Source organism: Homo sapiens, chromosome 13, assembly GCF_000001405.40.
Source record: "Homo sapiens chromosome 13, GRCh38.p14 Primary Assembly".
Taxonomy (NCBI): Eukaryota; Metazoa; Chordata; class Mammalia; order Primates; family Hominidae; genus Homo; species Homo sapiens.
The window spans coordinates 51936959-51962390 of NC_000013.11; the positions used below are offsets into that span (position 1 = coordinate 51936959).

Sequence of the window (25432 nt, forward strand, 5' to 3'; positions counted from 1 at the left end):
ATGATTATTTCTCAGACTATATGACTTAACAAATGGCTCAGAAAATAAGGCCACAATAAAATAGGGATCAGAAAATACAGCCAAGCATCTCCACTAGCTTTTTAGAAAGGACCAGAGTGAATGAAGGTTTCAGGTCCTCTCCACAGTTTCTCATTTAAAGACATATAAAGCAGGGGACATGAAAAAAAAAAAAAAACAGCCTTTCTAAAACGCCTCTAGCCAGCCAGTGAGTGAGCCACTCACTAACCCCAGCAGGAACCTGGGAGACAGAAGCCTTTCTGGGCGCAGCTGGAGCACAGTGGGTAAGAGCTGCCTACCTGCTGCAATGGGTATCCCAACCAGGTTATAAATCAGTGCCAGGACCAGGTTGATGCGTATCCTTCGGACAGTCCTCTTGGAAAGGTGAATGCTAGCCACCACATCCAGCAAATCATTCTGATGGAGAGGAGCACACAGTGAGGAAGGGGTCTGCCCATTGCCCTCCCAGCACCCACAGCCTGGCTGCAGCCACGCTCACTCTGATAAGGACGACGTCGGCTGCCTCGATGGCCACATCCGTGCCGGTGCCAATGGCCACACCCATGTCTGCCTGGGCCAAGGCCGGGGAGTCATTGACCCCATCCCCCACCATGGCGACTTTCTTCCCTTTATTCTGGAGCTCCTGGACCTTGGCCACCTTGTGCGAAGGCAGCACCTCTGCAAAGACTTTGTTGATGCCAACCTAAGACAAAAGGAAGGCAATGCCTAGTGTTGGCAAAAGGTATCAGATAGCAGCAGAAACCTCAAGTTACCCTTGCCCCCTCTGCCCTCGGCCTCTGGGTCCAGTCAGTGATGTTGGTCAACCACACCCTGCAGGTTTGCTGTCACAGGGCCAGTTTATCCCTGGCTCCTGCCCCAACACCCTGCACTGGTTTAGGCCCTGTCCTTTTCTGGATGTGCAAACAACCCCCTTGCTGGTCTCCCTGTCCACGGCTCAGTCCTCCAACTGTCTTCTCCATGTGCTGCCCCCATGGTCTTTCCAAAGCATCCGTCCGGCCATGTCCCTCCCTACTCTCCTGCTTCACATCCAGTAGACCCCATGCATCTCCCAGAGGAGGGCAGCTCAACTCTTGGGTCTGCTTCCGAGGGTCCCAGAGTCCCAGGGTCCCAGGGTCTGGCAGCTGGTGCCACACTTGACCATACCATTCAGCTCCCCGCGGCATCTCCAAACCGCCGTGCTACTCTGTGCCCCTGGGAAATGCTCCTGCTGCCTGCTCTGTCCTGGGAAGGTGCAGTTTTCCTTTCCTAGTCCCTTTCCCGCTTCTCAGATCTACACAGTCACTGGTCCACCTTCCTGCAAGACCATGAGCCCGTCAAGGGCAGACCCCCCTTCACTCCTCACAGAGCCTGGCCCCACACCTGCCTGTCACATTCGTGGTGCTTCGTAAGTGCCTGCTGAATAGATGAACAAGTGCTAGCCAGAAAAGGGGGGAAGGACGCTAAACAGGTCCATAATTAGCAAGGAGGACCATGGAAAACAGGGGTACTGCTGCTTCCCTCAAGGAACACAATTAAGCTTTCAGAAGCCTAGAGCTCTGCACACATTTGGAGGTGCATAATTTCTAGGAATCCAAACTGGAGCCGCTGCTGTGTGAGAAGTCAGGCAGCCATCCAGTGGTGCTGTCCTCACAGACCAAACTCAGCATCAGGGGCTGCTGGAGAACTGCCCAGGAGTCACTTATCTGAGCACCCCAGTGAGAAGAGCTGAGCTGGCAAAATCTTCCCTTAACATAAAGGTTAGAAAATGTCTATCTCAGCCCTTAGGTCACATACTTTTTTTTCCATTGCAAAGACTGGGAAACGGTTAGAGAACCCTGGAACTCCTTTTTTTCCAGGATGCATGCGCCCAAGCTCCAGGGAAGAGATCTTCGCACAGCACCACAGTGCTCACGTGCAACACTACATGGCCACAGAATGAAACACGTGGAGAGAAAAGCATCCAGCAAGGGAGAAAGAGCAGGAGTACAGCTCAGTGCTGGGCCAACTGGTGCTTACTTTTGTCTCTAACTGCTTTTATGAGCTTTACACAGTTTGCAACATTAAAGGGCTGTACCTGGGTGGCAATAGCTCTGGCTGTCTTCCGGTTGTCCCCCGTGATCAGAACCACGTCCACACCCATGCTCTGCAGCGTGTGCACAGCCAGGGCAGCCTCCTGCTTGACAGCGTCTGCGATTGCGATCATCCCACAGAGCACACCTGGAGCGAACCAGCCAGCATCAGCAGCTACACAAGTTGGGGCACCCCGCACCAAGATACCACACTTGCAATGTTCTCATCATATAATATTATGTGCAAAAAACAAAACATCAAATTATATAACACAATGTGGTTTTTTTGCTTTTTAAAAAGTACATGCATTTACGGATGTACACAAAAGTCTGGAAGCAATATAATTGAAATCTTCGCAGTGGCTCCCCAAGGAATAGGATTACGAGTGATTTCATTTTCTCCTTTATAGCTGAATTTTCCAAACTTTCTGCAAGGAGCACGTATGACACTTTGCGAAGTGCCTGGCTTGTAATAAGAATTCAATACACATTAGCTACTAAAATTCAAGAGACATAACAGATATCACTTAAAGTGATAAATGTCCAAACTAGAAAATCAATCCTTCGTCTTTTCCTGCAGAAAACATTTCGGCAGAATTTCTCTTTGAGTGAATCTTAGCTATAGAAGCAGGAGGGCTTTTAGGGCTGAGGTGTGAATGAGAACAGAGTAAGGGATGACATACGAGAGGGCACGACTCCTTTAGTTGTGCCAATTCTGGTTTGATAGCCGAGGGGCGGGTGGATTTACAAAGACTTAGAAAAAGGGAAAAAAGAGAGAGAATGTGAGAGAAAGACATATTTGGCTGGAGCATTCAAAAGGTGTCATGTATTTTATTTCTTGCTTGCATATACTGTTACTTCTATTAGCAGAAACTAACATTAACAAAGTAAAGACTCTAATCTCTCTGGGATGTAAAGCCCAGGATAGAATCTGAGCACTAAAACACATGCAGTCTTTTTTTTTTTTTTTTTTTTTTTTTTTTTGAGACAGAGTTACGCTCTTGTTGCCCAGGCTGGAGGGCAGTGGTGTGATCTTGGCTCACCACAACCTCCAACTCCCGGGTTCAAGCAATTCTCCTGCCTCAGCCTCCCAAGTAGCTGGGATTAGAGGCATGCGCCACCACACCCCGCTAATTTTTTTATTTTTAGTAGAGACGGGGTTTCTCCATGTTGGTCAGACTGGTCTCGAACTCCCGACCTCAGGTGATCCACCCACCTCAGCCTCCCAAAGTGCTGGGATTACAGGCGTGAGCCACCGCACCTGGCCAACACACAGTCTTGAGACCTGTACTCTGTGCGACACCAGTCTGTATAAAGCAGATAGAAGGGCAGGTGCGGTGGCTCACGCCTGTAATCCCAGCACTTTGGGAGGCCAAGGCAAGCAGATCACCTGAGGTCAGGAGTTCGAGACCAGCCTGGTGAAACCCCGTCTCTACTAAAAATACAAAATGTAGCTGGGCGTGGTGGCGGGGGCCTGTAATCCCAGCTACTCAGGAGTCTGAGGCAGGAGAATTGCTTGAACCCGGAAGGTGGAGCTTGTAGTGAGACAAGTCACACCACTCCACTGCACTACAGCCTGGGTGACAAGAGGGAAACTCAGTCTAAAAAAGAAAAAGAAAGTAATAATAAATAAATAAAGCAGACAGAGAAGGGTGGCATGGATCTCATTATTTAAATGCATCCTGTAGTTAAACCTGCTGGGAAGTGAATTCCTGCTCTGTCTGCAGGGATGAAGGAGAAGGATGACTCTGAACTGCCCACCTGGACAAGAGCAATGATGATGACACAGACAGTTTAGAATTCCAAGGTCAAGGAGACTGAGGCCAGACCAGAGCTGCTCTGGGGCCAAGATGGAGCCAGTGGAAAGAATGAAGAGAAAAGACAAAAAGACAATCTTCTGGAAAACAGGCCTGAAATTAAGAGAGGAAGGCTTTTGTTTGTCTTCTTTTCTTTTATAAAGGAGGACTCTTTTGCCTGATATCTGCAGAAAACTGTATTTCTGAGAGAGCGGAAGGAAGGCAGAAGCAGAAGATACCGTCAATAGCCACCAGGATGGCTGTCTGTCCTTTCATCTCGTGGTCTGTCATAGCGTCACTGACATCGCTAGAAATGGTTAAACCGTTGCGCCTCAGCCACTCACGGTTTCCAATCAGCACAGAGAAGGTCTGGGGGACTGCATCTATTCAAAAGAGGCTGTGGTTATTTCTAAATGGTCCAATTTCACTGTGAACTAAAAACCATGCAATCCTTTTAACAGCAAAATATCCTTTTAACCATTCTGAAAAACTGTAACCTTGTAAGCACCTCTTGTGACAGCATCCTTTAGGACAAAAAAAAAAAAAGTAAAATTAATGTGTAGGACATGTGGGTATGAATTAAGATGGGGCATTAATAGTACATGCTACATGGGTGGAAATGGTATAAACGTATTAAACATAAGGCAATGTCCGTCTTTGTCTTAGAAGTATCCACTGATTCTTTTTCTGCAGGGATTAGAAGCACTCAGGTATTTGCCCAGCACACAAAGCAAGTGTTGACTACATTCATTACTGCTTGGTATCAACAACCCCAGGTGAATCAACAAATAATCAGACACGTCTACATGAAATGTTTAAAACTGTAACTCCCGAGGCTAATGCACCTCTCACCTATCACTTTCTAACAGCGTGTGCTGCTAGCTGAGGTGTCACTGAACGGCCAGGCTCTGGAAGCTCTCATGGAAAGGCCATCCTGGGGTTTTAAAGGCTGGAAGGTGGTGGATGGCTTCTAACCACACAATCTAAGCCACAATTTCACTACCAACACTTAGGAAAAACACTAGTCACAGATTTTGAGTGTTTTCCACCCTTTATTCTGGTGGCTGGCAAGCTACCTTGAGAATAAAAAAGGCCATTCTTCAAAAGCAGCTGTCCCTCCAAGCAGTGTCCCTTCCTGGCTTGGGCAGACATTTCCCTCTGCTTTCCCTGACTTTTTCTGCCTGCTTTGTAAATACCAGAATTCTACCATACAGAATGGAAACAGGAAGAACGAAAGTGGAATTCCCGTCTGTCTACTCTGTAGCTTATGAGAAGCAAGACCGATATGGGATAAGAAAGAGGAGAATCAAAATCATGGGTCAGCTAAACAATGCTCTATGAATTTAAGGCAGCCATAAGCAACAAAATTTAGACGCACCCAAGAACATAAGAGAAACTTTCCTGGGTGTGGGGAGGCAGGCTTGGGTGCCTTAGCCATGAACCGTCTGCCGCACAGCAGAGGCAATCACTGCTGGGCGTGGTGCTCTCTGTGGTTTGACCCACCTCTACTTTTAACCAGCTGCAGAGACAAAAGCCAGCAATACCTTTTTCTGCGGGAAGGCTGCCAGCCTCATTCAGGTGACTGGCCGGTGCACTCAAAGGGCGCTCACTGTGGGCCAGGATGCCTTCCACGTTGCTGACTTTGCACCCAATTCCACAGCCTGGCACTGCCTGGAAGTCCGTGCAGTATCCCAAGGTCTCTGTTCCAAGTTCCTGGGAAGGTGGAAAGAGAGGAAGAGGAAACTGTAAGCCAAGAGGGGTGAAGTGAAAGGGAGGGGCAGGCAGGACAGGGACACAGGGTGAAGGTGGCAAGAGAGCAGCGGAAAGCGGGAACTGAGAGAAAGGAGGGGAGGGAGGTGGAACAGATAGGAAAGGTTAAGATAGTGACTAGTAACTTGTAATTATTTCTCCCTCCTTTGGTAAAGATATTATAGCTGTAAGTTGAATGAGACTATTTTAAACAGCCTAAAATCCTTCCCTGGGTGGGTGCCTCATGACAGTGAACAGGTTACCGACTGGAAAGGAAAAAGGCAACTCATATCAAACACCTCAAATTAAAGAGGACTGCAGATGCCAAAGAGAGGGAGATGTGAATTTTATGTTGCAAATAATTTCATTAAAAACAATGGAATAAGTAGTGTTAACAAAGCTCTTTGAGACTATCAAGAGATAACTGCCTGTATATCAGACCCTGGAGGAGGAGGGGACAAGGTGGCAGGGTAAAGGAATGGCTGGGGTTTCTGGACTGCCCGTCCTCCCCCAGGCTGTGAGCTCCCAAAGGGTAGAGTTCACATCCCACTTCTGTTGTTCTCCTGAGCCTGACGCCTGGTGATGTTCAGCAAATGGCTGTGACACCGACCTCACTTTATGACAACCTAGAACTGTGGCAAGGGCTGACTGTGAGCCCCTCATCTCCACTTGCTGCAGAGGACCCTTCTAAGCGGTTTTCCAGACCACACAACAAATAAAGGATGACTGAGGGTGAGCAAGATTCTCCCTGAAATGTCAGAAGGGTGAGGTGAGAAAGAGTGGGCTGTCTGACCCTACATGAAGGACAAAACTAGAAATGAGGTTTCTGGAAGAGCCCCTGATCAGGAAGAGTTGTCAATTGTTTTTCAAGGCAATGATGTCACCTTTCTACATTTACTGCTAACAGTATTGCTCAGGCTGTTTAAAAGTTGTCAGGGCAATATTCTGTGTGACGCGTTCTGCTGCCCCTATATTCAGACTGAAATTAAGAGAAAACAAAATAGAACCTTTCCTGTGGAGAGACCAAAAGAAGGCAATGCTTCTCCACGAAGTGCCAGGAACCTGCTGGGCACTCTGGCTCACCTCTGCTGGTTCCTCTCTGTCCCAGGTGCTCCCAGGGGAGTAGATTTCTCCCTTCCACCCCAGTACTCCCATTTCATGTTTGTGTCCCCTTGCACTAAGCACTGTCAAAGCACTGAGTTTCCAGACTGCCCGTACTCCCCAAGACCGTGAGCTCCCAAAGGGTAGAGTTCATATCCCACTCCTGTTGTTCTCCTGAGCCTGGCGCCTGGTGATGTTCAGCAAATGCCTGTGACACTGAACTCCCTTTGTGATAACCTGGAACTGTGGCAAGGGCTGACTGTGAGCCCTATATCTCCGCCTGCTGCAGAAGGGCCCTCTAAGTGGTTTTCCAGACCACACAGAGAAGGCTCCTCGAGGGCAGCTAGGAGAGAAGGACATGGTGAGGAATAAAAGAGCATTGGCGGGGAGGGCAGGGCCACGCCCAAGTCCACGTACCTCTTTACAGTATTTGGTGACTGCCACGCCCAAGGGGTGTTCACTGCTGGCCTCCGCAGTCCCCACCACAGCCAGAACCTTCCTGAGGGGCAGTGTGGCCACATCCCCCAGCAGGAGCACCCGCATGACCCTGGGGACGCCATGGGTAATGGTGCCAGTCTTGTCAAACATCACAGTCTTTATCTGCCAAAAACAACCACAACTCACTGACCACAATACAGATGGAGGGGCTTCCATAGTCACACTCCTGAGGCAGAACTTCACCCAACCTGCCTCAGACAGGAAACAAGACACCTGCACAGCTTCCTAACGTGATCCTCTGTCGTTCAATCTCAGGGTTCAACAACTCCCACTGCAAAGAAACTGTTTCCCTATGTGTCCAGTCAAACCAGCCACACTGAGGCTTGACCTTGACCAGGCAAAGCCAGAAACCCTCAGTCGGCTGTACAGGAGATGGCACAGCACTGTCCCCCAGACAGTGACACCATCCACATACTCCCCCACATCAGGTCAGGAGTCAGGACCCTGAGGGACACCTGCCTCCCTGTCCACTGCCATCCGCCGAGCCCAACCTCAGCTTCCTTTTGCCTGCCTAAGTGCAAAAGCTACTGGGAATAGAGTCCTCACACTCTGAGTTCAAGAAAGGAAAGGACTATTCTATGGCCATAATGACAAACAAACCCCCAGAGCCAGTTTTAAGTTGGTCACACTTAGTCAATGGCAGTCTGCAGAGTCCCCACACCTCTGGGCTCAGATATGGGCAGCAGCTACATTCAGGTACCTGCACTTCCATGACCAGGGCCAGTCGAGCCCTGAGCCCTGCTTCTGAAAGTCCAGTAATTCCTGAAGTGTATAATTTTACCCATTTAAGGCCAGCAGGTTGCTCTTCTCAGACCATGTCCCACAAGCAGGGTTCTCCCTTACAAGCAAACAATAATTCAGCTTTTTGTTTCTGATGCTGAGCGGTGGCCTTCCTTCCTTCAACACACTTAACTCATCTTCCTCCAGGGATTCTTGCCAGCTTTCAGCGCAACCTTAACACTGCAGCCGGAATGATCTTCCCAACACACGATCCAGTCACATCACGTGGGTATGCCATCCCCTACGTGGCTTCTAGGCTAACGTTCAGAACACTTTACTAAATCTTCAGCCTTTGGATTCTGGCCCCTCCCTCAACGGCCTCATCTCTGGTTCCTCTCTCTCAATGATTTTCTTCCAGTTCCTCATTTGCTCATTCAACAGATAACTTCTGAATGCACTTGATGTCTCAGGTTAGATGCTGGGGATACCGCGGGGAGGGGAAGTTCCACCTCCACAGGTGCTTTCCACCTTCTGTCCCCATTTTGGAACACTCTTCCCCAGCTCCGTTGTCCAGCTCTCACTCAACAGTAAGGTCTCAGATGAACGTTCGTATTCGCTTCCCTGACCACCTGCAGCACCCTTGTCCCTGAGTCGAGCACCCCAAGTCTAGGATTGGCCCCTGTTCAAGTGTCCCCAGGACGTCAAGCACCACCAGTCAATACTCAGTATCTCGTAATACTCAGTCAGCTTTGCTATTTACTTTTTCACTGTCTGTCTTTCCCCCTGGTGGGCTCCTTGGCGGCTGGAAACCATGACCATCGCCAGAACCCAGTGCAGGGCTCACACGCAGTGAGTGCCCAGCAAATACTGATTAAATAGGTGAAAGTGTGGAAGGCCAGAGGTTAGTAAGTTGGGCAAAAGGAAGACTCTTCACAAACACCGTCACTCACTCTTCACTCCCCAGGGTCACAGGACCCACCACTAATCCCACAGATGTCACGGTGGGGCTTTTGTCCTGAAGCCTGGCTACCTGGGTGTGAATCCCAGCTCTGCCTCTGGTTAGCTGCAGGCGTTTGGTCAAGTTACCTAATCTCCTCCTGCTGCAGTTTCCTCATCTGTAAAATGGGAATGATAAGCACCTACCACACAGAGTTGTTAATGCAATTAAATCAAGTAATGTTGATAAAGCGTTCCATTATATGACTGGTGGCTACTCTGTTGCTACTGTTGTTATTCCCAGTTATACTTGACTTCCTATTCTATGTAATTAACACTGCTGTCTTGAGTGGCTCTCAGGCTTTTCTCTCAATGTGAAATAGTAAACAGATACTACTTTCATCTCTCAGGATGGGGAAAGCCGTGCTACAGGCTGACCTTGTGCGCCATCTCCAGGGGCTTGCCTCCCTTGATGAGGATGCCGTTCTGCGCGGCCACCCCGGTGCCCACCATGACAGCCGTGGGCGTGGCCAGCCCCAGGGAGCAGGGGCAGGCAATGCACAGCACCGTGATGGACGTCTGGAAAGCAAACCGGATGATCACCTCTGTCTGGGAGATGTGCTTGTTGGGGTTCTGAAAACAGGACAGAGTCAGAGGCAGGTTGAGAGTTCAATAAGGAAGCTCCCAGAACTCTAATCACATAAGGACATTTCAGGGGGGCACTGGACACAACGTGACGAACTTGGGTTCCGGAAACAGATGGTATTCCACACTGCTCTGCCATCATAGAGAACACGTTACTGCTCTCCACATCCCAGCTATCCAACTTCATCCTACAGGTTTCCCTCAAAGAGGCATTACAGGAGCAGAGTCAAATAAAAGCCCTTGATAGGGGAAAGCAGACTCTGGAGATGGACCACACAGATCCAGATCCTGGTTTCCTCATACACAAAATGGAGATGATAATGCATAGCTCATAAATTGTGGCAAGGATTGAATGAGGCAATACACATATAAACATATAAATATACACAGTACATAACACCTGGCATAGGAGCGGCATTTAAGAAACAGTAACTATTATCGTTATTTTTCTCATCATTAGGAAAGCTTAAAAATGCTATTCTAAGGTGATAATCATATAAATAAGAAAAGATGCAAGGATATTTACCACAGTGTTTTGTTTTGTTTTTGTAATGATAAAAAATGGAAACAACCAATACGGAATTGGTTAATTAAACTGTAGGTGTGATGTATATAATGGGATACGAGGCAACTATTGGAATGATGATGGAACATACTGATATGGAAAGGTACCAGCAGCACTGCAAAATTAAAAAGCAAGTACAAAATCGCATGTGCTGGGATTTATTCGTGCAAAAATCTCCGCCTGTATCTGAATACAGCATTTCAACAATACTGGAAAGGTATCCACCAATATGCAAAAAAATTACTTCTAGGGATATGATTTGGAGGTATCTTTATTTTCTTCTCTGTATTTTTCACTATTTTTTCTTTGTACCCAAAACAAACAAAATATGACCTACTTTCCAGACACTTGGTATTATTTGCATTCTGAGAGCTTGAATTATCTTGGTTTATTTTTAAAAATGGCTGGTGGCTATGGAGTATAATCAAGAGATACTATGTTCACTTACTTATAGTAAAAAGCACAGTTGTCTAAGGTAAGGCTATGGACCACAGCCTCTTTAGCTTCCATCTACATTTTATTATTTCACTCTGAAAGGCAGGATTCTAAAATAATGTATTATTAAAGGGGTCTTTTAATTTTCATAGAAACAGTTATATTTAGGTAGAGGGATATATTAAGATTTTTAGACATAAAGATTATGTAATCTTTTTTAAAAATACACTAATTCTTGTCAAAATCACACCTGGCATTCTGATAGGACTGGGTGGACTTCTGGAAGTTACCATGAGCCCTTCTCTACAATGACTTTTGTACAGCAGAGAGATGACAGTATCTTAAAGGAACATGCAGTACCTCATTTGCCAGCATCCTCCCTGATATTGCAGATAAAAACAAAAGAAGCCAAAGTAAGATGGAAAGGCATGGAACAGCAGAAAGCCACAGATTCCAACTTGTTTAGGACTGAGTCTTCCCATGGCCATATGCCAACGCACTGCTTTCCCGAAAAAGCCGAAATTATAGGCAGTCAGGTGCCATGGATAGCCACAGGCACATTCTACCAATATATCTGTAAGTTACTTTTAAGAGCACTGAGGTTCCTTAGATGTCAGAAAGTGTTTAACTTGAACATTGTTCAATTTAAGATGGGAAATTTGAGGGAGAAAATACATCCTAGTAAATGACATGTGTCCTGAGAATATTTGATATACTTTTAATTATGTGAAGGATTTTTTTTAAAAGAAAAAAATTATCCATTCTGTATTTGTACTTTTTGCTACGTTGCCCAGGTTGGAGTGCAGTGGCTATTCACAGGCACGATCATAGCACACTACAGCCTCAAACTCCTGGACTCAAATGATCCTCTGCCTTAGCCTCCCAAGTAGCTGAGTCTACAGGTGCATCACCACACCCAGTATGGTTTCTCATTCTATGGCTCTATGGTATAACAAGCACTAGACTGGGCTAGGAATAAGATAAGGTAAAAACATTGTTCCGCTCATTGTGCCATTACCAAATACTGTTCTAAGTGTGCCATTAGCTTTTTAAGTACATTATCAAGGTTTCAACCTCAGTGCTACTGACATTTGGGGCCAGATAACTCTTTGTTGTAGGGCCTGTGATGTGCCTTGCAGGATGTTTAGCAGCATCCCCCCAGTCACAAACACCGAAAATGTCACAGCTGCCAACTGAGAATCACAGATGTAATATAGCTTTTATTCCTCAAGCAGATATGTTTTTTTGAGGGGTGGCCTGTATTTTCCTTTCTTTTTCTGAGGTTTAATAAAACCATATTTCCTAAGATAGTGTTCTTCAACCACTTTTTTAAACTCAAAAATGTATATTCCATTGCCTCACATACAATGTTTAGTAAATATTTAACTATTATAAAAAGCTATTCACGCCTGGGTGCAGTGGCTCACACCTGAAATCCCAGCACTTTAGGAGGCCGAGACAGGCAGATCACCTGAGGTCAGGAGTTCGAAGCCAGCCTGACTAATACGGTGAAACCCCATCTCTGCTAAAAATACAAAAATTAGCTGGGTGTGGTGGCGTGTGCCTGTAGTCCCAGCTACTTGGGAGGCTGAGACGGGAGAACTGGTTGAACCTGGGAGGTGGAGGTTGCAGTGAACCGAGATCAAGCCACTGCACTCCAGCCCGGGAAACAGAGGGAGACTCCATCTCAAATAAATAAATAAATAAACAAACAAACATAAAAAGCTATTTACATTACTTGGGAAGCTGGGAGGTCAAAGATGGTACTGGTAAATATATACATCAAAAGATATTTTTCTTAAAATGTATTAAATAATATTATCATGCCATTGAGATTTAAAGTGAACTATTTTCTATGATGTATGCCTCATAACCTCAAAAAGGACCAATAATACATATTGTAAATGCTTCAAGCATTACAACTGAGCACCAATTGGTGTCTGTGAAAATTATCTAAGTAGAATGTAAAGGAGATCTTTAATAGAAACCTGCAGAAGGAGAGTGACTGTTTATCCTACTCTGGCTTAGATTTTGCTGTCAATAAGAGAAGCAAGCAAATAAAATGTAATGAATAATTAAAGCCCAGTGAATCTAAGATATGAAAGAACAGGATCAATGTCAGTAGATTATTTAAAACACAACCACCATATAGCCCAAGGCATTCAACTTACAGGAAAGTATCTCTGAACAACACCAAAATCGATAAAACCGATTACAATCCATACCACCAACGTCAAAGTTGACATGATGATGATAAATGGGACAAAATATCCACTAAACCGGTCAGCCAGCTGCTGAATGGGTGCCTATGAAAATAAAACACCAAGACCATGGGAAATTACAACCTATGAAGAAATAAAACACCACAAGCATGGATAAAGATTGGGATAATCTCCTTCATTTAACCACATTTACTAATCAATCTCTACTCAATAAAACTGTCTGATTTCCCAGAACTCTTCACATAATTTCTAAAACGAGAAAGATGAAGTTAGTTTTAAAAATTTCTTCATTACCTTTGACATCTGAGCCTCTTCCACCAGTTTCACAATCTGAGCCAAAGTGGTGTCATTGCCCACGTGGGTAGCTTTAATGAGCACAGAGCCATGTGCATTTATAGACCCCGCAATTACAGTGCTTCCGGGTTTCTTAGTGACTGGCATGGCTTCTCCTAGACGTAGGAAAGAGACAACTGTCACTTGCTCAGCCCCATCCAGCACTCATGTGACCTGACAGCTGCTATGATATCCTCCTGAGGGAACATGAAACAAGCCATCTCACCTGTGATGAGGGACTCATCAGCCATGGTATTGCCTTCCAGGACTTTCCCATCCACTGGAAACTTTCCCCCAGGGACCACCTTGACGATATCGCCCCGCTGCACCAGCTCCATGGGGACTTGCTCCTCCCTGCAACAAACGCCACTTATCACTCACATGGCCACTCATTCGGTCACCGGGTCAGGTTCTAGGCCAGCTGTTACAATAGTTACACTGTATTTGCTTATACTGAGCAACAGTATTCATTTGATCTGTTCATTTACAGATATTTATCGTGCAGCTGCTGAATACCAGGCACTGTTCTAGGCACTGGTGATACAGCTGTGAATGGCACAGCAAAGGCCCTACTACCTCATGAAGACAAGTTCTGTGGTAGAAATGGACAACAAGCAAGATAGAATCAGGTATTAAATATTAATAAGTGCTGTGATGAAAAAAACAAGGATAATGTGACTGGAGGGCTTCTTAGAGTGGCAGAGGGAGGAGGAGACATGGAAGGGCTTCTCTGGGAAGGTAACATTTAAGCTGAGACCTGCATGCCAAGAAGGTCCAACACACACGGAAAGGAAGTTCACGGAGAGAAAACAACTGACACAAAGGTTTAAGGCAGGCAGGAAGGGTGCGTCTGAGAAACAGCAAGAAAGCAAGCAAGGCTGGCAGGAAGTAAGTGACGTGCAAGTTGAGGTCAGAGAAGCAGGCAGAGTCCAGATCATGCCGAGTCTCCTGGAGCAGAGCATGGGTTTTGGATGTAAGGCTTTTAGCAGGAAAGTGACACAATCTGATTCACATTTAAGTGATCTCTTTGGCTGCTGCATGAGAATGGGCTGTAGGGATGATCACAGGAGTGAGGGGGAGAGTCAGGCTGTTGCAGCAGCCCAAGCGGAAGATGGAAGTAACCTGGACTACAGAGAGAGGGAGAAGAAATACACAGCATATTCTTAGATCATGTGTTAACAAGATGTGAAAATGCACTGAATATGAGGGTAAAGAAAGGAATCAAAGATGAGCTCCAAATTTTCATTTTGAGCAACTGGGTGGATAGAGAAACCATTTAATGAGATGGAGATGATTATGGAGAAGCAGCTAAGGGAGGGTGAGGGAAGAGAAGGGGAGGGGATGGAGAGAAATGGTTCATTTTGACATGTCGGGTTTGAGATGCCTATTTGACTTCCACGTAGAAATGCCAACTAGGGAGCTGAAAATATGAGTCTGAAGTGGAAAGAAGAGGTCAGAGGTAGAGAACAAACCTGAGAGCTGTCACATGTAGATAGCATTTAAAGCCATGAGATCATATAAGCGCCCCTAGGAGTGACGGAGAAAACACAGAAGGGGTCCTAGAACTCATCCCTGAGACACTCCACTATCTGAAAGCTGAGCAGAAGCTGAAGGACCAGCCAGTGACACAGGAGGAAAATGAGAGTGGGGATGAGGAGGAGGAGGAGGGAGCACCCATCCAACCACACCAAACGCTGCACAAGTAGTTCCACAGGGGCAAATATACGTAAAATTCATCACACTCTACACGTAGGGTTTGTGTGTTGCAGTGACTGTGAGTTACACATTGAAAAAAGAAAAAAAATCAAAGAAACAGACAAGGGGGAAATACTGGTGAGAGACTGAAATGAGGACTTAACACAAGCAATGTTGGATTGGGGTATATGGAAATTACTTGATGGCACTGGCCAAACCAAGTTCAGAAACTGGTAAAGGCAGAGGCTCAACTAGAATGGGCTGAGAGAGCACGCAGTGAGAAGGCAAAGACAACAGCGAAAGTCACGTTTTTAAAGAAGGCTTTTGTGAAGGAACAGAAAAACAGAGCAGTAGAAGGGAGGGTGGATTAAAGTGGGGATTGTGTCTTGTACATACATGTGAACTGTGTGCTAGTGGGACATGTCCTGCAGAGACAGAGATGCTGCGGGGGGAGAGGAGAAGACGGCAGGAACAGAGACAAAGCCAGAGGGAGGGCACCTACGGCCCAGGGCCAGCTTCAGCAGCAGCTCACTAAAAGCATGGCATGGGCCCAACAGAATTAATTGTATAGGTAATACTGGCTCATGAGCTAATGGTCAACAAGCCAGAAGAGCATGCATGGAAAGCAAGCAGGGCTCTGAGGTTATTTTACACCTTGCTTTCATTCTACAAAGACTACATTTAAACTATCACAGGCACAAAAGCCATCTTACTTACTTGAGAAGGAGAAATAGACATTTACTGAGTGCTAGGAACTGTGCTAGATTTTTACATGTTTTACCTCACTGAATCTTCCCAGACACATACAAGGTGAGTCTTATTACCCCCATTTCAGCAAAACCTGAAGATGTCTTAGAAAGGCACAAAATTGAACATACATGCCCACTTATTTAAATGTTGCTATGTACAACTATATAAAACTTAGTAACTACCATATGCAGGCATGTATGTTAAATATTTGCATCATTATTTTCCTTTGTAAAAATTGTTCAGGAACAGTCTCTGTGCTACGAGGATTCAAGGCTTGTGTGGCTACTTCCTGTGATTACGTGAGATGCTTAGTATGGCACCTGTACACAGTAAGTGCCCAATGAATGCTGGTGATTTTTATTATCACCTAATTGACATTTTCATATTGATTGGCCTCTTGTGTACCAGGCACCAGGGTAGGCTGGGGTTACAAACAGGACAGAGTAGAGCCTTCCTCTCAGGAGGTTTATAGCCTCATAACTAAAAGCAGACACACAGATGGACAGTTAAGACACACACAGAAAGTTCAATCATGGCAACCAAAATAAATGGAGTACTGAAAAGGAGACTTTCAAAGACTGAAGTCTTTAGTGCTGGGAGTATACCTGTGTAAATCTGTTTGGTGGCTGAGTGAGCCAGGAGAACGGAAGGATCTCGAGAACCCAAGAATATTCTCTGCTTAATTTTAAAGTCCTCCAGCGATGGAGAAGTCCAGGCTGAACATTGCCCTTGAGGCCCCCTCTGAACAACCTGGAGGATTTATCATCCCACAGAGGTCTCCACATGGCCTGAGAAGCCCAAGTCGGGAGGAGGAGCTCCCTGCATTCAATTTAGAAATGAAAGACCCCAAGAACTAAAGGTCAGACCCTCCTCCAGCAGAACCTAATCACTAAGTTTTAAAATGTCCACTTCTGTAAGGAGACTTAAAATTGGCACGAATGTACAGTTGGGTGTCTTTCTAAGAAATCTTTAGTAATGCTAATCTCTGTTAAATCTAACTTTGAATTTCTCCTTTGATCTAAATTAACCACATCTTTCTAACTCTAAGCAGCTTACAAGGAATAGTCCTTTATGAGGGTTAATGTGGCTCCTACTGGTGAATCTCAATAGCATGTATTCTTCAGAAGCTACTATTCCTCTCCAAGTGCTGAGCGATAGGAACCCTCTTAATTAAAAGACAGTGGTTTGTTTCATAGCACTTCATCTTTAAGAGTTTCTGCCAGGAATCTGTTTACTTCACTTGTCTCCTCTCTTCTACTCCCCTTCCTCATTAAACACAAGTTAAGAAAACAAAGAAAAAACTTATAGCATTATGGTCACTGGTCTAGATATGATTTGTAATTTGTTTCCCCATCAATTGTAAAAAAAAAAAAAAAAACCAGAAAATTTCAACATGGGAGACTGGGGATGGGGCTGTGCAAGCCTTTTAATATCAAGCACACACATGCATGTGTGCAGTATGTTTCTTTAACATCTGACAGCAGTTTCATTCCACCAGTGAGTATCTCAGCACCCGCCATGTTTACATCCCAGGGTGGCTGAGGCACAGAGTGTTCTGAGAGCACTGAGGAGCCACAGCTGAGCCAGGCCTGGGGAATCAGGAAAGGCTTCTGGAGGATGCAACTTCCATGCTGAGCCCTGAAGGCAAGGAGCCAGGCAAAGGTTAAGGAAGAAGGGAGTTCAGAGGGAAGGAAGGATGTGTGCAGAGGTCTGCAGAGAGAGGCAGTCCCTTCCTGGGACCTGCCAGTGGTGCAGGGCAGCTGGAGCACAACGCAGGGGATGGCAAGACAGGCTGGGCTCAACAGGCATGCAGGCGGATGCCGGGCCTCACTGCCACGTTAGGAAGGTGGTTTTGATCCTAAGGACAGCATGCAGCCATTGAAGGATTTTCCAATATGATCAATTTGTGCTTTCAGAAAGCACTGTAATATGATCAATTTGTGCTTTCAGGAAGATCACTGGTTTGAATGTGGAAAAATACTGGATTGATAAATGGCTGCAAGCAGTATGAAGAGACAGCTGCGGTGTTTTAGGGGCAAGGCCACAGTGGCCTGGACCAGCATGGTGCCAGTGGATGACGCCCCTAGAGACAGAGGTGCTAGAACCATGAGGATGGACTGCAGATGTGTGAATGAGGGCAGACAGGCATTGTAGAGGACACACTGGGAGCTGGCATGAGGGTACCTTTGCCTGAGACAGACAGGCACCAAGGAAGGGGAATATTTTTGGGGAAAAAGTGGGGGAAGGTGAAGAAGAATACAGACAGGCCGAGTCTGAGCCTTTACCAGTCAACCAAGAAAAACACTCCAACCAGCAGGTAGTCTCTGGGATCTAGACGTAGGTTTGAGAATGAGCTTCTCACGGCTGTTAACCAAAGACGTGGGAGAGTGAGACGTCCCAGTGACGGTGTGTAACACACAAAGACAGAGGCAGTACCACCAGAACCCCAAGGACCATCCACAAGGAAAAAGGAGAGAAGAAAGCCCATGGAGACTAAGCAGCAGCAGCAGCAAGGAAACTACAGTGTGCCAGACGGATCGCACCTAGAAACGCTGCCAGCACCCAAGACTTGGAGTAAAGAGAAAGCACAAGTGTCCCCAGCAAAGGGATGGTCAGAGGAAGAAGCCCAAGCCTCAGTCAAAGAGGGCAGTTATGCGAGAACCTCTGGGGGCCTTCAGATGGTGCCATGGACCAAAGGCACAAGCAGAGGCCCAGACGCGGGAGGGCCCTGTGGGAGGCAGAGTCACTGGGAAACCAGTGTCCAGTGCACCTCAAAGCACAGAATGGTTGAGCTCAGGGGAGGCCTAGACTGCGGCAATCCAGGCGGCAGTGGGTGCAGCCTTGGCCTGGGACAGAGGGTTGGGCTCGGGGTGTGCTGTCAGGAGGCAAGTAGGAATGACCACACCCAAACAGTGAGCCAAAGGCAGAATGAACTCTGGTCTTCTGGCCCCTAGCTTAATAATGTCCTGTCATGTTGCATGGTAGTAGTCAGGCCGTGCGTCCCCAGCCAAAAAATGAATCGGCATTCTTGGAAAAGAACTGAGTTATGACAGGTGCTGCACGCACCCCGTGGGCACTTCGGCCGGCAGATGCCTTCTCCTCCTGTTCAGATCCCTGGAATAGTTCCAAGCAACTGCAGTCAGTGCCATCAGAGGCGCCTCAAACTGTACCGAAGACCCTAGCAAGGCGAGTTGGAGGAAACATGAGTCAAAACCAACACAGCTGCCAGCGGCTTGGCTCCCTGTCTGAACGTTTTCACTTCTCAGAAACTTTCATGCAATTAATTTATAAGAGAAGAAAAAAAAAAGAAGCCAAGGCATGTGACTGCTGCAGACCCATGGCACAGCAGAGCCCAGCATGCCAGGTGCCGTCACACAGGGTCCTGTTTGGGGGCAGCGCAGCACAGTGGCTGAGGGGGGCTCTGTGCCTCCAGGGTTCCAATCCCAGCTCTGCTGCCTGCCTGCCATGGACTCTGGGGATATTACTCCACCTCACTGCACTTGGCTTTTCCTGAGGAAAGCTGGGATGATGACAGTGCTGCCTCACGGAACAGCTACAGAGTGGAACTAGACGATCTGTGGCAAGTGCTGGGGAGTGAGCCTGGAACACCAGAAGGACTCAAATCTCAGTTGCCAGTCCTACAATTGTGATGATCATTTAAAAGCCAGGATCCAGAACAAAACCAGTGCCACCGCGCAGCAGCCAGCCTGCACCTCATGAACACTCATGCATCTGTGTGGCCCCGGTCAGTTCCTCTACTCACCTGGGGCGTGCCCAGGGCCAGCTGCACCAGCCCTGCAGACCCCATGGGGAAGCAAGGGGTCTGTCTCAGCCTTCACGCCCAGGCCTCCAGGACACAGCTAGGGCAGGCTGGCTCCATCAACAGTGTGATACATGGACAAGGGCACACAAGGGAGGGGCAAGGCACAACGCCTCTGAAAATGGGAGTGGTTAGAGTCTGCATGACATCGGAGGATAAGAATCAGAGACACCAAAAACCACTGAGAAAACCAACAGAGAAAGGTTCCCGGGTAGAGGCATTGGAGGAGACGCCTCTCCCACCAACGGGGCAGGAGCGGGAGGTGCCACGGAGGAGGCTAGCTGTGTAGGCTGAGGGACAGGGAACTGGAGGGTTTCCATCTGAACACTTCTCCTTCCAGTAGTCCAAAGCGAGACCACAGGCTAATAGAAAATGTGGTGGGACCAGGGAGAGATTTTAGGAATATGAAGGAGGGCTGAAATAACCATTGCCTAGAATATAAAAAAGAAGCTAACCCCAAGGAAATACAGAAGCCTTAATTAGAAAAATTTCCATATTATTAAATATGCATTAAGAGTCAGTGTGTGTAAAGGTTAAGAAAATAGACTCTGGATCCACCAGCCTGGGTTACATCCCAATTCCATTACTGAATACCTGTGTGACCTTGGGCCAGTTGCTTAGCCTCTCTGAACCTCAGCTTCCTCATCTGTAAATTAAGAGTAATAATAGTCCCTGCCTCAGAAAGTTTCCATCTTTGGTTAGATTAAATACAAAGAGATTAGAATAGTGTCTAGCAAACAATAAATGCAACAAGAGTTTCCAGGAATAATAATAATTATTATTTTTAATATCAGGCAACCTTAAGAAGAAGATAAATTTCTCCTTCAATTTTTATTCTTTAGCAAGTTGAAGTCCTTATCTCTCTGCCTGTCTGAATGTGTATCTTACTAGGAAGGCCTAATTCATACTCTATGTTCTCTGTGAAGTTTCCCTTGACCAACACTGGCCTTCCTCTTCTTAATTCCTGGAATACTAATCATCTACACCTCCCATGTGCCATTTCGCACACACACACCACCTACAAATCTTGCTAGTTTTATAGTTCAATGCCTTGCTTTCGTAGCTGGATTGAGAGTGGTGATCTTACTGTGTCTCTGCCCACACTCACAAGGTCTATTGCAATGTCAATACAACATGGGCATCTGATGCAGCTCACACAGATTGATAGATACCAACCACAAAGACATTTGATAACCATAACTCACCTGATGATTAAATTGTCCTCACCAAGGGTCACAACGGTGGCTTCTGTGGCTTGGAGAGACATGAGTTTAGCCAGGGCTTCTGAGGTTTTGCTCTAGGAAATAACCAGAATGTGAAATGAGAGCTATCGAAAGCAGACCTGTCCAAACCCAGCCTGAGAGTCACAAGCGTGGTGTTAGAGACAGCTGGTGCGAGAGAAACAGCCGCACGGCACGATAAAAGGCTCTGCAGGTGGGCGTTACTTGCTATCCACCACACATGGCCACATGTCACTTCCACAGTGATGCACAGTGCCTGTGCCACTAAAGTCCGGGAATTACATTTCAGACTGGAAACAAACATCAGTCTTCCCACTGACCATTTTCTTTTAGGTTCAATCTAATTTCTTTTAGGGCCTGAGTTCCATTCTCTTGTAAGATACATTTCAGTGTTGGGGACAATGAAGGGTGTTAAAAATGGCATGACCTTGAGGAGGATGTATGGATGTCTAGACCAACTACATATTCAGTTTTGCACCAAGAGACAATGTAGGCTCTGCCCTGAAGGCCAGGTTTCTTTAGTTTACACAATACACCTGAATGATGGTTTTAATAATTAACCAGATTAGCTGGGATTTCAGAAGTAGTGACCAATTTGGAGATTAGTGACTAGAGCACCTTAATTATATGGAGGTTTCCTATTTCTTTAAGTCTGTCTCTATGCTGTGTATAATTAGTAATTCTAAACATGGTGTTCAGAGGAAGTGAGATTTGTTTACTGAAGGAGCAGCTCTTTTCTGAACCTGAAGCTGCTGTTACCTTTGCCAAGTGTTCCAGCCACCGGCCCAGGGCAATGAACACAAAGAGCATGGGGGGCGTGTCGAAGAATGTCACAGGGCTCCTCTCCGCCTTCTCAGCCACAGCAACCACCAGGATGACCAGAGAATAAACATAAGCAATGCTTGTGGCCAGGACGATGAGCACGTCCATGTTGGCTGACCTGTGTCTCAGAGATTTGTAGGCCTGAACGTAGAAGTACCACCCACCGAGGAGCTGAAAGACAAGGACAGTGAAGGCTGCCAGCAAGTAGGGAGGAGAGTTCAATGAGCGACACAGGGCCAAGGGCCCTGGGGATGGCAAAGCCTCTAGCTTTGTGCACAGTCGTGACAGTACTTCTTCCTCTGTGATGGGCGTTTATGAAATATACTTTCCCATTCAGAGGACTACTGTCCACAGGAATGGATGACCAAGAGCATGTGAGACCTTTAAAACCCAGTGCTTACAACACAAATGTCCTCTAATAAGAGAATGGTGAAAAGTTGGGGAAAAAAATCACGACTCATTTGTACTGTAGACAGCACAAGGCATTCCATTCCCTAAAGAGAATGGGCTCTATCTATAACCCACTGGCATAAAAGATGTCTAATACATAGTTAAGTGAAAAAGCCAGCTGCACATCAGTCTATCTTGTATGATCCCATTTCAGTTAAAAAAGTCTGTATCTGTATTACGTGAACATATACATACACATACACGCAAGTGTGCATTTTCTCTATATAAAGATTTGGAGAGATTAATGCCCAACTATTAATATCACCATAGCAACACTGGGGAATGAGATTGGGCGGGAGGCAGAATGTGATCAGTGAAAGGGCATCTTCCTCTTTTCTTCTTATACTTCAGTACGGTTTGAATTGTTAATAATAAGTGTACATTACACTTATAATCAAACAAAATATAGAAAAACACAAATTCAGGCTGGGTGCAGTGGCTCACACCTGTCATCTCAGAGCTTTGGGAGACTGAGCTTGGAGGACTGTTGAAGGCCAGGAGTTTGAGACCAACCTGGGCACATAGCAAGACCCTATCTAGCCAGGCATGGTGGCAGGCGCTTGTGGTCCTAGCTACTCAGGAGGCTGAGGTGGGAGGATCGCTTGAGCCCAGGAGTTCAAGACTACAGTGAACTATGATCACATCACTGAACTCCAGCCTGGGTGACAGGGTGAGACCCTGTCTCAAAAAAAAAAAAAAAAAAAAATCCAGCCTACCAATGCTTGCCCCCAAATAGCCCCTAAACATTCCAATATTAGGACAGGGATTTAGTTTTATATTCCAAAATATACACATAGAGGGCACACTTCCCACCAGACACACAGCTAGTTCCTTAATATCACCACCAAAGCAGACGTTTCATGCCTTTCTCTTTTAAATTATAACTTCCTGAAAGACAAGGACCATATCTCCACCTTTTAAGATAGAACACTCAAGAGTGGCATGGGCTCAAGGGTGATCCAGTTGTTGCTTCCAGCAACAAACGTAAATTAACCTAAACAATATGCACATTGGAGACACAGAGTTCACCACACCTTGCAGCAAGGAGGTTGCTATTCCAGGGCCAGTTCTGATCACTTGCAATCAACTGAAACTGACAGTGAAACCAGGCCCTTAGTAGTCCCCCACACTGGGGGGGCCCCAAGCCCCACCTACTGGTCATTAAGAGAGAAAAAAAGCAGCAACTGCCTGGGTGGGGCAGGAAAGCTGCAATAAAGTGCCATTTAAACCAAGCTAAAGCACTATGTTTGCGCTTAGCGGGCAGAATATCTGAGGGCCACACACAGCATGGAAGGGAGAGGTCTGCCCACTTTCTCATATATACCTGGACAAAGGTACACAAGATAAAGAAGATGAGATTTAGAATGGACAGTCCTGGAATGATGTTGTGGTCCAGGACCATGGACTGGTGGGGCTCGTTGCTGGGTATCAGCATATAGATCATTAAGGCCATGACAGGGATGCCAAACACCAGGCTGCACAGGAAAGACTTCTTCCACCTGGAAAGCAAATGCAGCAACACAGATATATCAGATGCTGCTTGTCACCTGGATTACAAGCCACTCCCCTTCTGAGGACACAGTTTAAGACCTGCCTTTGTCACATGTCTGGGACAGACCACCAGGGGTTAAAATGAAAGTAAGAACTCTCTCTCTCTGACACTGGCCATCTGAGGGAGCATCTAGAGGTCTAAACATCACTATAAGGAGGTTCCAAAGATGTTGAGGCCCAGCCCCTGCCTTCACATACTGTGGTTACCTCCAATTTACGGGTGAGGCAAGTGAGGCCCCAAAGCTGAGAATCTAGCCCCAAAGGTGCCTACCATCCTCGGCCTATGGTTGCCTATAGCTTTCTTTTCAAAATGCAATCTTATACAGACCCCCAAAGAAAAAAATAGATAAAAGCAGTATTTTATTAGTATAAACTTATACATTCTATCTTTAAACAATTATTTAAAATAGAGTCCATGAGAACAGTGATCACTGGCTGTCTCAATGAACACCATAGTTTGGAATCGGGGGTCATGGCTGACAGCTGTGGTCTCATGTTAGCTGCAGCATCCATGAAATTCCAACCGAGTGGTTGTGGAACCTCAAATGCACCTAAAACATGACATGAAAACCACTGGCCTTTGAGGCTGAAGTCTTAGGCTGTTGGACTGCTACCCAAGAACCAGACCCCCAACTGGCTGTTCAGATGCCTCTCCCGTAAGCTCCTCCTGTGCCCCAGGCATGCCTACTGAACCAAGCCACAGCAGTCCCCAAGGGTAGCCGCCACCAATTCCTTCAGCCAAGCAAACTTCCACTCATTCTTTGAGGCTCAGATCTTATGTCCCCTGCTTGGAGTTTTCCTAGACCTTCCAGAATCTGCCAGAGCCATTGATTTCATTGCTCACTCACTCTTTCTCAGCCAGACTATGGGCCCCTCCGAGACAGGGAAAGTATTTATCCCCAGCACCTAGCACACTGCCCTGCACACAACAGCAGCCTTTATGGTGCTGAATGAGTAACTGGCCATCTGAAATAATGAATGATCTCAGGTCTCCCGCGCCTGGGCCATTTTCTTTCCACTCAGCCATTATGCCTGCCTTCAAATTCTAGTTCTAGAACCCATGCAAATAAAGTCTGAAAACATTGTCAAAGGAAAAAAAATCTACACTCTCTCCCTCCCTCCCAACTTAAGTGCTGTCCAATCTGTTAGCTAAAGGTAGCTAAATTGAAATTCCTTAAAAATTAAAAATTCATTTCCACAGTCACACTAGCTGCATTTGAAGTGCTCACTAGCTACATGTGACTAGCGGCTATCACACTGGGCAGTGCAGATACAGAACACTGCCATCATTCCAGAACTTCTTTTGGACAGCACTGTTTCAGAGGGTTCACATTACAAGGGTAAAGGCAGCTAATCCAGGAGGAAGGCACCATGGGAAGACAAGACCAGCTGGCAGAGTTGGGCCCAGGTAGAGGAAGGGACTTAGATGAGAGCTGGAGTTTATCTTTTGTGTTCTACCTACTGCTTTATTTCCATCTTGTGGTCCAAGTGATGAGCGTTGGGGTTTCTCTGGGCCAGGGAAGCATGAAAGCCAATTTCCTTGTCATTAAAAAGAGAGGGGTGGGGAAAAAGGAGGAAGGTACTTGGTTAAAATATGCATTGGCAGAAAGCACTTTTCAGCTTTGGAAATTAGAAAGTGAATCTAAAAGTGCCTCAGTAGACTTTGTGGGTTTTCTGCTTACAACTTCTTTACCCAATAGCCCTACAAACCCTGTGCAGAAGTTCAGCACTTCTGGGAAGACAGCTTCCCCAGACTCCAAAGCTGAGCAGTGCTGACTTATAATTTAAACTCAGCATTTTTGAGTGAAGGAATCCCAGATACCTAATGGTCAGAAATCTTCATTCCATGTATGAGGAAACAGAAGGTCGGAGAGGATAAATACCTTGCCCAAAGCCCCACCCTTCTCAGAAGAGCTGGACTCAGAGCTCCAGCCTCCAGCTTCCAGCCCAGGCTTCTTGCCACTGCGGCAGAACTCGGCTCCTTCAGCATTTGGAAGCACAGCTTCCACTGTGCCC

The 25432-nt window shown here is 46.4% G+C and overlaps 1 protein-coding gene across 41 annotated transcripts in view, besides 2 other annotated features; it reads right to left on the minus strand.

Annotated features, from left to right (window-relative positions):
* ATP7B (ATPase copper transporting beta) overlaps positions 1-25432 on the minus strand; it is a 79464-nt gene that overhangs the window by 4290 nt on the left and 49742 nt on the right. For 8 of the 41 annotated variants that reach the window (NM_001406511.1, NM_001406512.1, NM_001243182.2 and 5 more), the window contains 14 exons: positions 24879-24955; positions 23190-23364; positions 21353-21586; positions 20558-20649; positions 13314-13441; positions 13049-13203; positions 12704-12838; positions 9326-9520; positions 7151-7333; positions 5428-5596; positions 4123-4266; positions 2093-2235; positions 518-721; positions 318-435 (listed from right to left, as the gene is read on the minus strand). In NM_001406511.1, the coding sequence (NP_001393440.1) occupies positions 318-435; positions 518-721; positions 2093-2235; positions 4123-4266; positions 5428-5596; positions 7151-7333; positions 9326-9520; positions 12704-12838; positions 13049-13203; positions 13314-13441; positions 20558-20649; positions 21353-21586; positions 23190-23364; positions 24879-24955 (2152 nt within the window). The remainder of the gene's footprint in view (positions 1-317; positions 436-517; positions 722-2092; positions 2236-4122; positions 4267-5427; positions 5597-7150; positions 7334-9325; positions 9521-12703; positions 12839-13048; positions 13204-13313; positions 13442-20557; positions 20650-21352; positions 21587-23189; positions 23365-24878; positions 24956-25432) is intronic. The other 33 variants (NM_001406521.1, NM_001406522.1, NM_001406524.1 and 30 more) reach the window with 19 other exon arrangements.
* Positions 8413-8482: an enhancer, noted in NCBI's record as "active region_7783". NCBI's record gives its function as "activates an Ori minimal core promoter by ATAC-STARR-seq in GM12878 lymphoblastoid cells {active_cell/tissue: GM12878}" and the evidence as "EXISTENCE:reporter gene assay evidence [ECO:0000049][PMID:35858748]".
* Positions 8543-8642: an enhancer, noted in NCBI's record as "active region_7784". NCBI's record gives its function as "activates an Ori minimal core promoter by ATAC-STARR-seq in GM12878 lymphoblastoid cells {active_cell/tissue: GM12878}" and the evidence as "EXISTENCE:reporter gene assay evidence [ECO:0000049][PMID:35858748]".